The sequence below is a fragment of the Homo sapiens genome, chromosome 1 (assembly GCF_000001405.40).
Source record: "Homo sapiens chromosome 1, GRCh38.p14 Primary Assembly".
Lineage (NCBI taxonomy): Eukaryota > Metazoa > Chordata > Mammalia > Primates > Hominidae > Homo > Homo sapiens.
This window is the reverse complement of record NC_000001.11, coordinates 44,677,850-44,691,669: the sequence shown is the minus strand read 5'-3', so window position 1 is coordinate 44,691,669 and position 13,820 is coordinate 44,677,850. Positions and strand designations below refer to the sequence as shown.

At 46.5% G+C, this 13,820-nt stretch overlaps 1 protein-coding gene and 1 long non-coding RNA gene across 28 annotated transcripts in view; one reads left to right on the top strand and one right to left on the bottom strand.

Moving 5' to 3' along the window:
• LOC105378690 (uncharacterized) overlaps positions 1-3,356 on the top strand; it is a 36,515-nt gene extending 33,159 nt beyond the window's left edge. Inside the window, exon 5 of the long non-coding RNA XR_007066059.1 lies at positions 3,076-3,356. This is a non-coding gene — a long non-coding RNA (uncharacterized LOC105378690). The remainder of the gene's footprint in view (positions 1-3,075) is intronic.
• Positions 1-13,820, bottom strand: part of ARMH1 (armadillo like helical domain containing 1) — a 50,878-nt gene that overhangs the window by 33,922 nt on the left and 3,136 nt on the right. For 18 of the 27 annotated variants that reach the window (XR_007059336.1, XR_001737140.2, XR_001737141.2 and 15 more), the window contains exon 2: positions 1,767-1,994. Coding sequence is in view for 22 of the 27 variants with exons in the window: in XM_011541341.2 (XP_011539643.1) it covers positions 1,767-1,972 (206 nt within the window). In the remaining 5 variants the exon portion in view is untranslated. Of the gene's footprint in view, positions 1-1,766; positions 1,995-2,445; positions 2,580-3,350; positions 3,475-7,013; positions 7,278-13,820 lie in introns of all 27 variants that reach the window. The other 9 variants (XM_011541340.2, XM_006710603.3, XM_011541345.2 and 6 more) reach the window with 9 other exon arrangements.

The following is a 13,820-nucleotide window of genomic DNA, read 5'->3' as shown; positions in this document are numbered from 1 at the left end:
TCATACAAGAGTGGTGTTGAATCTTGACAATGAACTAGTCCCTCAGGGAGAATCTGAGAGTGAGTAGAGAAGAGGGACGAGGATGGAATCCCAAGGAACAGCATTTAAGGGGTGGCTGAAGAAGAGCGGGAAATGCATAGACACCAAGATAATCGGTATCAGAGAAACCAGGAGTGTTTTGAGAAGTGGGAAAGGTTGATTGACAAATGCCACTGAGAGGTCACCTATAAGGACTGAGGATGCAGTCCCTGGGTTTTGCAACTGGAAAAACATGGGTAACCTTAGCAAGACCTGCATCAGTGGAGTGGGAGGCACCGAAGTCAGATGGCAGCAAGTGGAGAAAAGGGAGGAGAGGAAGTGGAGACAGGGAGACTCAACAACCTTTATTTTTATAATTTTTAAAAAATGTTTTGAGATGGAGTCTGTCTCTGTGGCCCAGGCTGGAGTACAATGGCGCGATCTTGGCTCACTGCAACCTCCGCCTCCCGGGTTCAAATGATTCTCCTGCCTCAGCCTCCCGGGTAGCTGGGATTACAGGCATGTGCCACCATGCCCAGCTAAGTTTTGTATTTGTAGTAGAGACGGGGTTTCCCTTGTTGGCCAGGCTGTCTCAAACTCCTGACCTCAGGTGATCCGCCCACCTCGGCCTCCCAAAGTGTTGGGATTACAGGCGTGAGTCACCGCGCCCCGCCCCTCAACAACCTTTTCAAGAAGCTTCACTGGGCGCGGTGTCTTATGCCTGTACTCCCAGCATTTTGAGGTCAGGAGTTTGAGACCAGCCTGGCCAACATGGTGAAACCCTGTCTCTACTAAAAATACAAAAATTAGCCAGGTGTGGTGGTACATGGCTGTAGTCTCAGCTACTCAGGAGGCTGAGGCAGGAGAATCACTTGAACTGGGGAGGCAGAGGTTGCGGTGAGCTGAGATTGTGCCATTGCACCCCAGCCTGGGCCACAGAGAGAGACTCTGTTTCAAATAAACAAACAAACAAAAGAAGCTTCACCATGAAGGGCAGAAATTGGGGTTGGGTGGAATATAGATTTGAAACAGGGATTCAATTTTATTTTTTAAAGTAGAAGAGATTTCAGCATATATAAATGCTGAAAAAACGCTGGTTATGAGGCAAAGGTGAAAGCTATAGGAGAGAAAGAATAAGGAGATAGGAAAGGGTTCAAGTGCAGTACAAATAGAGGATTAGCCCTAGACAGAAGGTATACCTACTTCAACTCTGATGGGAGCAAAAGAGGTTAGGGGTGAGAAAGAAATACAATTATAGGTTGGGAACACAGGAAGCTGAGAGAGTTCTTGACTCTAAGGATTTTTTTTTTATCACTTTTTTTTAAACACCAGATGTCTGTTCTAAAATATCAGAATCAAGAGAAAACCCCTTTGACAATCTCCTCTCCTTTTCATTTTTGAAGGCTGCCTAATTTTTGTTTGTTTGTTTGTTTTGAGACAGAGTCTCACTCTGTTGCCCAGGCTGGAGTGCAGTGGCATGATCTCGGCTCACTGCAACCTCTGCCTCCCGGGTTCAAGTGATTCTCCTGCCTCAGCCTCTTGAGTAGTTGGGGTTACAGGCACCTGCCACCACGCCTGGCTAATTTTTGTATTTTTAGTAGAGACAGGGTTTCACCATGTTGGTTAGGCTGGTCTCGAACTCCTGACCTTGTGATCTGCCCACCTTGGCCTCCCAAAGTGCTGGGATTACAGGCGTGAGCCACCGTGCCCGGTGCCTAATTTTTTTTTTTCTGTTCAGTAAAGGATACGTGATTCTAAGCGAGGTGGTCAAGCGTACCAGGAACAAACTGGCTCCCTGGGAAAACTCCTGCTCCAGTTCAGGGGCAGTCTTGCCTTGGTTGGTTTCAATGAACTTGTCGAGGATGTGACTCCTTGCGACTTTGCCAGCGTTGTCCCACTCCTGTAAAAAACTTAAGAGCCTGCTAATTGCTGCCTGCTCCTTTATAGAAGTCATGATCAATCAGTCCTGAAGTTGGCTACAGAGGGAGGGAAAAGAGACAGGTTACCGGAATGTTTAGAATCATGCAACTCCATTATTTTTCTAGCAATCAACTGCAGGCAGGGTGTGGCTTTATCATGCAAATGGATGTAGTTATGCGCAAAATATACTCTAGAACTGGTCACCTGCTGCTTGAACAGGGAGGCTCTAGCTGGAGTGTAATGGGATTAAGAATATCAGTGTGCTAAATGTCTGCTCTTTAAGAACTAAAATTTTAGCTCTTTGGCGTCCCTACTGATGCCAGCAACTAAAAGACCAGAGCATCCAGCTGAGATAAAAGTGCTTGCCAAGGCCGGGCGTGGTGACTCATGCCTATAATTCCAGCACTTTGGAAGGCCCAGGCAGGTGGATCACCTGAGGTCAGGAGTTTGAGACCAACCTGGCTGACATGGCGAAACCCTGTCTCTACTAAACATACAAAAAATTACCTGGGCGTGGTGGCAGGCACCTGTAATCCCAGCTCTTGGGAGGCTGAGGCAGGAGAAATCCCTTGAACCCGGGAGGCGGGTTGCAGTGAGCCGAGATCGCGCCACTGCACTCTAGCCTGGGCGACAGAGTGAGACTGTGTTAAAAAAACACAAAAATTAAAAAAAGAAAAACAAGAAACAAACAAAATCTGGGCCTCTCTTGTGGCTTACTTCATACAGGGTCAGAGGCTTGAGGTCTTGAGAGACATGGCCTCCCTCTTATGCCAATCACCTAAGTTAAAGTGCTCCTTAACCTTGTACCTCGGGCTTTTACACTAACTCTTAAAAACAACTTAAAAAAAAGTTAGTGGGAAGAAAATGTTCCCATTCCATAGTTGGATTAATGGGCTGTGGTTTGTAGGAGTCTGTGTCCTTGGGAGAGTATTTTCAGTGGGGGGAGGGAAGGTTTAAGATAAACCTGTTTTCCAAAAATAGTTGTGATTGAAAGTGTTATTATCCATAACAAATGTTAGTGCTGATGGGAGAGAGGCATGTGTGATTCTTTTGTCTAACAGACAAGTGAAAGTCATATTTCACATTATCATGGAGTTTTCTGTGATTTACAGAATATTTGTGAAACATTACTTGCAGGGGCCATGATTGATATGGAGAGAACAGCTTGTGTGTAGGAGAGATGTGTATTTCACGAAGACTGTTCAACATGAAATTTACAGTCCCATAAAGTGCTTCTACATCTTCGCCAGAGATCTAGTTAAAAGGACTTTACAGTCTGAAACATCCTAAAATTGATTCTAAATTAACATTTCCTCACATGTATTTGAGATATTGATGGGGCCCAGCTATCAGAATTTTATTAGGAAGCAATAATCTGAGGCATGCGGAGACAGACATACATACACACCAACCTCTACTACTCCCCAGAGGACATGGGATGCGTGCTTCCAGAAGGGCGTCCACGCAGCCTCCAGGATGGAGATAACCACGAAATCTAGCTGGCCTTAAGAACCAGGTGAATGACTGCGGACCAACCTGAACACAAAAATGACCAAACCCCCTCATGGGATCCTGCATCAATCACTGTGAATGCCATTGCAGTCATAAATCTGAGAATAACCTAGGGAGGCTGTGGCTGCCTTCAGTTGCCAAACTGACATCAAGAAAATGGGGGTGAATGGCTGTTCTAGACCCCAGGGAGGTGGGGTTGAGACACCACCACTAGCTTTATCAGGCAGGAAAGCACCGTGTGCCCTTGCCCTGCCTTAAATGGACCCTTTCTAGTATCAAAACTCAATGTGCCATTAGAGATGCACCCAGCGATTCCAGGACGCCAAAGGCAGGGACCTCTAAGCAGGGCACATTACGGCTCCTCAATGTTTCCTTGGACCTCAGTCTCCCCTATCTTCTTTGAAGACAGGAAAAGAAGCATCAACAAACATCAGCTTTAAACGTCACTGTGATGCAGCTGTAAATCTTATGTATGTGGTGAAGGCCCATCCTGTGGCTCTGTATAAGGTACCGTGGGAGATGCAAAGATGAATACGATGCTGCAGGGCGCTGGAGGAGTTCCTACTCTTGGGGGAGAGTGGAAGAACATGAGATCTGGAGTCAGACTGGGTTCAAGGCTCAGCTCCGCCACTTGCTATTTTGAAAAAAATCAAATAGTAATAGCACCTGCCTCACCTCTTGCTGCCCTCCAGTTTCTCCTCACAGAGGAGGCTACTTTAAACTCTTTTGGCTATTTTTTCTGCTGTTTACCCCTGTATTTCCAAATAACGAGCTTATACTACTTGTTATGGGCTGAACTGTGTTTTCCCCAAATTCCTATGTTGAAGTCCTAACCATCAGTAACTCGGGATGTGGCTGTAAATGCAGATACAGTCTTTAAAGAGGAAATTAGGTTTAAACTATGTCATTAGGGTGGGCCTTTATCCAATATGATTGGTGTCCTTATAAGAAGAGGTGACTAGGATACAGACATACACAGAGAGAAAACCAGGTGAAGACACAGGGAAAACATGGTCATCTGCAAGCCAAGGAGAGAGGCCTCAGAGGAAATCAACCCTGTGACACTGTAATCTCAGCCTTCCAGCCTCCAGAACTGTGAGATGATGAATTTCTGTCATTTAAGTTATCTAGTCTATAACACTTTGTTATGGCAGCTCTAGCAAACTAATACACTGCTATCATTCGATGTATCAACCTTAGGCAATATTTATGTATTTATCATTCTGGCAGGTGAGGAATTAGGTCTTCATTTTTTTTTTTTTTTTTCTGAAATGAGGTCTCACTATGTTGCCCGGCCTGCAGTGCAGTGGCTATTCACAGGTACGATCATAGTAAACTGCAGCCTTAAACTCCTGGCCTCAAGCAGTCCTCCTGCCTCAGCCTCCTGAGTAGCTGGGGCTACAGGCGCATGCCACCTTGCCCAGTGGAGGAATCAGTTTTATTGCACCACTCTAACTCCCATTTTTTTTCTTTCTATCCTCCAACATTATTTCCCATACTTTAGAGTTAAATCAATAGTGTTTACATTATTATTATTATTTTTTGAGATGCAGTCTCACTCTGTTGCCTAGGCTGGAGTGCAGTGGTGTGATCTTGGCTCACTGCAGCCTCTGCCTCCCAGGTTCCTGCGATTCTCCTACCTCAGCCTCCTGAGTAGCTGGGATTACAGGCATGTGCCACCACACCTGGCTAATTTTTATATTTTTAGTAGAGATGGGGTTTTGCTGTGCTGGCCAGGCTTGTCTCAAACTCCTGAGCTCAAGTGATCTGCCTGCCTCAGCCTCCCAAAGTGCTGGGATTACAGGCGTGAGCCACTGTGCCCGGCAGGTTAACATGACTGATCAAGTAAATAAACTCTTCAAGTAGCAAACTACTATTACATTTTTTTCTTACAGTTTGGTTTTACCTGGAGTTAATAATTGTCATTTTTTTCCTATTGTTTGGTTTGAAGTACCAAGGGCTATTTCATTCCAAATGTCCCAAATATGTAGTGATTATTTTTCCAAATGTTCAATCTGTAACTGATTAATTCCATCTTTTCCCTGGAAACCTCTGTCCCACAGATCTCTTTCTACTATAGTTTAGACTGGTTGCTCACTAAGGCCAGTATGCAAATGTTGTCCTGGGATTTCCTCTTGCCGAGTTTTTCTGACGGATGCCCATTTCCTGTCTCTCACATCTTCTTCCTTCTTTGTGTACTCCCTTGTTTTGTCCTGGAAAGTCTAAAAATATTGTTTTTGACCACATGTTGGATTGGCTGGGTATATAACTCCGCGTTAGAAATAAGCTATCTGGGCCGGGCGCGGTGGCTCACGCCTGTAATCCTAGCACTTTGGGAGGCCGAGGCAGGCAGATCACGAGGTCAAGAGATCAAGACCATCCTGGCCAACATGGTGAAACCCCGTCTCTACTAAAAATACAAAAATTAGCTGGGCGTGGTGGCGCGTGCCTGTAGTCCCAGCTACTCAGGAGGCTGAGGCAGGAGAATCACTTGAACCCAGGATGTGGAGGTTGCAGTGAGCCGAGATTGTGCCACTGCACTCCAGCCTGGTGACAGAGTGAGACTCTGTCTCAAAAAAAAAAAAGAAAAAAAAAGAAATAAGCTATCTGGCCAGGTATGGTGGCTCATGCCTATAATCCCAGTATGTTGGGAGGCTGAGGCAGGAGGATCACTTGAGCCCAGGAGTTTGAGACCAGCCTGGGCAACACAGTGAGACCTCCATCCCCTCACCCCCAAATTAGCCAGGTATAGTGACACACACTTGTAGTTTCAGCTACTTGGGAGGCTAAGGTGGCTGAGGTGGGAAGATCGAATGAGACCAGGTCGGGGCTGCAGTGATCTATGATCCCGCCACTGCACTCCAGCCTGGGCAACACAGCAAGACCCTGTCTCGAAAAAAAAAAAAAGCTTCCCTCAGATTCACCCTCCCCAGTTGCTGTTACTGATGAGAAATCTGAAGTCATTCTGATTCCTGTGCCTTTGTCTATTTTTTTCACTCCTGATGATTTTGAAACCTTTCTGAAGTTGTATAATGATATGCTTTGGTGAAGGTCTTTTTTAATTTACTATAGTAGGCCCTTGGTGGGCTCTTTAAATCACTGTATCCTTCAGTGTTTGGATATTTATTAGGCAACTAGTCTTCTCACTGGGGAATTCATAAATGTCAGTCAGTGGAAGCTTGTTTGTTTTTTTTTAACACCCTCATAGAGATATCAGGGTCTCTGGAGAAGACTTTCCTACTTTCCCAGGGAGGGTGAGAGAGCAGGGGTGCTATTACAGACACCTCGCCATGGCATGTTGGGAGTCAGGTGGGGGAAGGGCTCACACAATGCTGTGTGTAGACCTTCCCTCTACTCATCAGTTTTCAACTCTATGTCTCATTCCTGCCCTTCAAGCCCTGCCTGAGGTCCCTGTGCAAGGAGGCCTACAGAGTCCAACTTCCTTCCTCTTCATGCAGCAAGAAAGTTTAGAGTCATTTCTTTCTTGGCGGTTGAGGGTCTGGAGTGCAGGCAAGTGCTCTGCACACAGAGGTCAGTGAATCCCCCTAGGTTGGGCTCCATACCTCATTTCTGACCTTCAGTGGTAATTTGTGCTTTCAAGCATTAAGCCTCTTAGAGGTCAAACTGGCTGAATTGACTGGTTTCTTGTTGGTAAGCTCCCCTTGTTGGCAGTTGCTTGCAATTTCCTCTGCTTCAAGCCGGTTAGCCTCCCTGCACCTGCCTTCTGCCTTCCAAATATTTGTTGAATTCTTTCATCTCCTGTTGCCTCCTTCCATGAACTTTTGTGACTGAATGCTTTTTTATATTTCTTCAGCGGGGTTATGTCACTAAGGTTTTTCAGAAGTAGGGGGAGATAAAAGACATTAAGTATATTTAATTAAGAGCCTCCAGTCATGTATTATTTATCTCAACCTTTCTTTAATAGTAAGCTTGATGAGGGTAAAAAAAGACCCATTAACTACCATTTTTAAAAATAATTAATAAGATGAAAACAGTGGAAAAAAGACCAAAATGTGTCAATTTCAAGAGTCAGTTGCTGGGATAAATTGTATCTAAGCTTGTTGACCGCTAAGGAAAAAGTGATGTTAGCTGTGTTTCCTGGTGAAGGCAGAAGGAATGAAGGCAGGGAGAAGAAACTGACATTTTTTGAGTGTTGATTAAGAGCTATCCACACACCATACGCACACACACTCACACACTCTCTCTCTCTCTCTGTGGTTGTTTTTGTTTATAGAGATGGGGTCTCTCTGTGTTGCCTAGGCTGATCTCAAACTCCTGGCCTCAAGCTATCTTCCCACCTTGGCCTCCCAAAGTGCTGGAATTACAGGTGTGAGCCACCGCACCCTGCCTAAATTCTTTGTTTTAATCCTCTTAAGATCCTCAGGAGGTCATCATTATCCACAACTTTCAGATGAAGAAACTAAGGTTTAGAAGGGTTTGCTCATTTATTGAAGGTCTCAAATAGGGATGGGAATGGGATTTGAACTTAGATCTGCATATAACTCCAAAGTCCAGGTTTTTCCCCACTAAGCCAAGGGCATGGATCCTGTTCTCCTCTGTGCTCCAAGGTGTCACCAATAATCTCCTGTTGTCAGATTTAGTGGTTTAGCTCACCGTCCCAGCGTGCTTGGTCTCTCTGATGGATTGTGAATGACTCTTTTCCTAACCCCAGAATCCCCTGGTTCTACTCCAGACTCTCTGAATCCTCAGTTGCCATTGCAGGATAGTGCCTTTGCAGGTCGTTTTCCCGTTCTTAGTTCTCTTCTCATGCTTTGTAATCCCTGGGTGACCTCATTCACCCCATCACTTCAAATTACATTTATAGGCGCACGACTCTCAAATCCGTCTCCTCAGTCTGGGCCTCCCACCTGAGCTCCAGATCTCTTTATGTACTTAAGTGACCGGCAGACTCTTCACTGGTATGTGTCACAGGCTCCTCAAGTCAACAGGTCCCAAACTGAACTCATCAACTCACACCTGCCCCTTGCCCTGTGTTGGTCCTATTTCAGTGCTTGGGTCACCACCCTCCTAGTCAGCCAAAAGTTGTCTTTGACTTATTCCTCTCCCTTGCCCTCATCTGAACTGTTGCCAGCTCCTGCCAATTACATGTCCTAAATTTCCCTGAGATCAGTCTGTCTGTCTTCACCTCCACTGCCGCTATTTCAGTTTCACACCCTTGTTCCGCATATGGATTACTGCAACAGCCTCCACTGGTCTTCGGGCTTGCCCCAGCCTAAACTCCACAGTGATGTGAGATTTTTTATTTTTATTTTTATTTTTGAGACAGGGCCTTGCTCTGTCACCCAGGCTGGAGTGCAGTGGCACAATCATAACTTACCGCAGCCTCAATCGCCTGGGCTCGAGTGATCCTCCCACCTCAGCCTCCTGAGTAGCTGGGACTACAGGTGCATGCCACCATGCCCACCTAATTTTTATTTTTATATTTGTTTATTTTTTGTAGAGGTGGGGTCTTGCTTCGTTGCCCAGGCTGGTGTCAAACTCCTGGGCTCAAGCAATCCTCCTGCCTCGGCCTCCCAAAGTACTGGGATTACAGGTGTGAGCCACCAGGCCAGGCTTTGATGTGAGATTTTTAAAAGTACAAATCTGACAGATTTCACTGCTTCAAACTCTTCAGTGGTTCCTTACTACCTGAGGATAAAGCTTCAAACATTTCAGGCCAAAGAATTTCCATCTAAATTCGGCCCCAGGTGAAACCTGACACCCCACCCCACCCCTTGCCTCAACCCATGCTGCTGCTGCTTCTAAATCAGGAAGGGGGCTGCCCACTATCCTACACCTCAAACACCATTCTCTAAATCCCTACTACTGTTCCTGAACCCTTCCTCCTCCTCTGAGGTCAGGCCATCTGTCTTTCCCTCTCTACCTTGCCGCAGTGCCGATCAATGACTTTGACACGTAAGCCTTCCTGTTTACTCAAGAGCCACTAGGCAATTTCAACATCAGTGTGCTCCATCTTTGTAATTTGGGTGGCTAGCAGGGTCTCTGGTAAAACACAGGCACTCAATAAGTGTTATTTAAACTGACATCCAACACACTGTGCTCAGAATGTGCACTTTAATTTCCTTAGCTCTGCACATTAGTTAATTAAACAGATTCCCAGGTGCCAACTCTGAGCCGAGCACTGGGCTTGGGATTGGTTAACGTGACAAACATAGACCTTGCCCTCGGGTGCTTACAGACTGGCAGGGCAGAGAGACAAGCAAAAAGGTGATTTTAATGAACAGTGGAGAGCGCTCTGATGGGATATATCCCAGGTTCTGTTGGCGCACAGAGAAGAGACATGGAATGCAGACTCCAGCGACCTCCCGCTTTCACCTCCAACCAACACAGCTTTCATACCCAAAACCCACACCCCAAATCTGTGACTGGCTAGCACCATCCCACCTATGAAGTCTACAATTCCAAGCTCCTTACCTTCCCACCTCTTCCATCTATTCTCAGAAGGCCTACTTTTGGGTTTAACAAAGAAAGTTATAGGCCATTAGGTAAGAATGTCGTCATACTCCTCTTCTTTCTTCATCTCTATCCACATCCATCCTTCTCCTCTCCTTCTCTAGCCATCTACCAGAGCTCTGCCTCCATCCACCCCGCCTTCTCAGGGCCCTCATTCTACTCATTACTCCTGCCTCCCTTGTATCCTTAACCCCTCTATTTAGGCATTTTTCTTGTTAGCCTTGATTTTTACCTATCTTTATTATTATTTATTTATCAGTGTATTTATTCGAGATAGGGGCTCACTCTTGTCACTCAGGCTGGAGTGCACAGCACCGTCATAGCTCAATGCAGTCTTGAACTCCCGGGCTCAAGCGATCCTCCTGCCTCAGCCTCCTGAGTAGCTAGGACTATGGGTGTGCACCACCATGCCTGGCTAACTTAAAAAAATTTTTTAGAAATGGAGCCTCACGGCCGGGCGCAGTGGCTCACGCTTGTAATCCCAGCACTTTGGGAGGCTGAGGCAGACAGATCACGAGGTCAGGAGATCGAGACCATCCTGGCTAACACGGTGAAACCCCCTCTCTACTAAAAAATACAAAAAGTTAGCCGGGCATGGTGGTGGACGCCTGCAGTCCCAGCTACTCGGGAGGCTGAGGCAGGAGAATGGCGTGAACCCGGGAGGTGGAGCTTGCAGTGAGCCGAGATCACGCCACTACACTCCAGCCTGGGTGACAGAGCGAGACTCCGTCTCAAAAAAAAAAAAAAAAGGGGATCGGAAGGGGGCAAATTGGAGGTGGGGGCACCAGTTAGGAAGTCATTCCTACGGCCTTGACAAAGACGCTGATGATATTAGGGTTGGAGAAAAGTAGAAATGTCACACCATTTGAAGAAACAGGGCCTGGTGACTGACTGGCTGTGGAAGATAAAAGACGGGGAGGAATCAAGGAGGATGCCTGGATAACTTTGCTTCCAACTTCACAGAGAATATAGGGGCCATCAAGCGCAACCCTCTCCTCTTACGATCATCGTATCAGCACCCACCCTCTCCGTGGGCACTAGGTTCTACTCCTGTCTTCAATCTTCCCATCTTCCCTGACTCCTCTTAAACACTTGCTCAATCCCCACCAACCCAAATAAATATACAAACAAAGCCATCTCCTAACTACTTTTTCCGTAAGCTTCTACCCTTCCTACTTGCTTCACCCCCAGATTTCTCCATTAGCTCACTGTGGCCTACTGGATAAAGTCTAAACCCAATATGGCACTCAAGGCCCTTCAAAACTTGGCCCCAGCTGGGCGCAGTGGCTTACGCCAATAATCCCAGCACTTTGGGAAGCTGAAGCGGTGGATCATGAGGTCAGGAGTTCGAGACTAGCCTGGCCAACATAGTGAAATCCCGTCTCTACTAAAAATACAAAAATTAGCTGGGTGTGGTGGCACGCGCCTGTAGTCCCAGCTACTCGGGAGGCTGAGGCGGGAGAATCACTTGAACCTGGGAGGCTGAGGCTGCAGTGAGCCAAGACCGTGCCACTGAACTCCAGCCTGGGTGACAGAGTGTCTCAAAACAACAAACAAACAAACAAACAAACAAACAAACTTGGCCCCAATCTAACTTCATCTCTAGTCACTTCCACATTACAACAACCTTGCACTCTCAACTCCCCAGGCCCTTCCAGGGCCCTCTGCATCTCAGTGTTGCTCTGCCATCAGGAATGGCCAGGTTCCTTTTTGCCCTTTGGCAAACTCCCTGGGACAACTAGGGGTTTGCAGCTCTGGTCCCATCCATGCCACCTCTTCCTCTAATATGCTTTAAAACTTACCCATCCTTCCCACTAGAGTGTGAGTTCCTCAAGGGCAGGGGTTGGTCTTCCCTGTCTCTGTGTCCCTAGGACCTGGCATAATGCCTGGCACAAAACAGATGTTGAATAAATGCTCGCTGAGTGAATGTGTGAAGAAATCACCCAGCTCCTGTTGAGATGATTATATCTGAATGTCCATGATATGCAGGTCCATAAAACTACCAACTTCCCAAAGCTGCCATGTGCGGAGTGGCAGAATCTCCATCCAAGAAGGCCAGTGCAAAGTCTACGAGGTGTTTTACAGCTATGACAGGAAACAGCAATGTCAGCAGCGGTGTCATCTTTGGACACTAAGGACAGGGATTCAGTGCCATGAACGGTCAGTTAAATTGTAATTGGAGTGAACTGTTCTTCTGTAAACCATAATGTTATTTAGCTGCAGCCAAATGGCATTCAAGAAGGGGAGAAATTTTTTTTGAAATGTCACAGAAATTATTTCCAATTTGGTGCTCACAACCAGAGACTCTAATGATCAGTGGAAATGAGAAGCAAACAAATTAGCACTAATGGAAAATGGCTTTTGGAAAAGAAGATTTAATTTATAGTCAACTGATCATGGCATGCAGCATGCAGTAAAAGTCAGCTTCACCAGCTTGATCATAAGAACTGGAGCACACATGGAATGCCAGAGAAAAATATATGTATGCCATCATGCTTATTGGGATCTCTCTGTAAGTGGCAGCCAATTAAAATAGTCATTATTTTACCTCAGAGAGAAAACGGTGCAAAAAATCAAGCACGCGAAATTAAAAATCCAGATTAAGAACCTCGGTCCAAATTGGTTTGTTTGTGGCCTTCTAACCTTGGCAAAGTCTTCTGCAAGGATAACAGACCTACTTTGTCTTCAGCCCAGAGTGGACTCTTTGTTTTTAATTTCCTCTCCATCTTCAGAGGTGATTAATAAATCTGGACTCATCCATAAATCATTTCTATAGTGGCCAAATGGTTCTTCTTCATGCAGGGAAACTAAAATCACACAATCTCAAAAGCCTCAGCTCTCATGCTAAGCCAAAGGTCCTTGGCAACAAGCGAAGGGGAGGTATTAAAAATCAAGAGGTCAATAGGTCTTGTTTCTAAATAAAATTTCCCAGAGGGCTTCCCCACCCCCCCGGCAAATCAAAAGACACCTTCTGAAAGCAAAGAGGCCTCCAAGGCATGGGTTGCCAGCCTGGCTCACTGTCCCCACATGGCCTCGGAGACAACAAGCAAGTCACTGCCTCCTATTCCTGTAGGTTTCACATGTAGAATGAGACAGGCCTTCTCCTTGGGCTCCCGTCCCTGACTCCTAACTCTCAGTTCTCCATTCAGAGATAGGGAGAGAGAAACATTATCTCCTCAAACTTCCAAACAAGGTGTCCTTATTTCTCTCCCAGGGGCATATGCACTCCAATTTGTCACTTCCTTCTCATGGACCCTCTTCTGCTCCCCAGTCATACCCTGGCAGATACCCCTACCCCTGCTACTCATCACTTCCTGGTAGACTCCATCTGCCCCCACCTTTTCCTCACATCTGTCCATTTTCTCCATCCTCTCCCCACAAGAACTCCTTTCCCCCATCTCCTTCCTATGAAATCCTCTGCCTTCATCTTCTCCCCACTTGCCCTCATTCCTACCCACAGCCCCCACTCTTCTTCTCCCCAGACTCACTTCTGCCTCCAACACTGCTCCACAGACCTGCCCTCATCCTCTCTCCACAACATGTAACTGGCGAGGTCAACCACACTCTCCTTGCCCCTTCACTGCTCTATGCTTCATCTTCCTCGACCCATTTCCCAGCCTTCCTTCCCTTCCCAACCTTTTTACTCTGCTCTTGAAAACCCTTCTTCCCAATCAGCTAAGTCTCCTCCATCCTCAGCCTCTCCAGTCACCTGCCCACCTCCAGCCTGCATCCAAAGCTGGCTCTACCCCAGGGCTCCCCTTCTGCATGGCCCTCCTGGTAGAATCTGTTTAGATTCTTACACCCCCAGGATTTCAGGTTTAGGAGGGGGCCTCATGTCTCCTTGCCAAAGCCCAACTCAGTTCCTTATTCCACCTCCTTCTTGTAAAAGCCCTTAC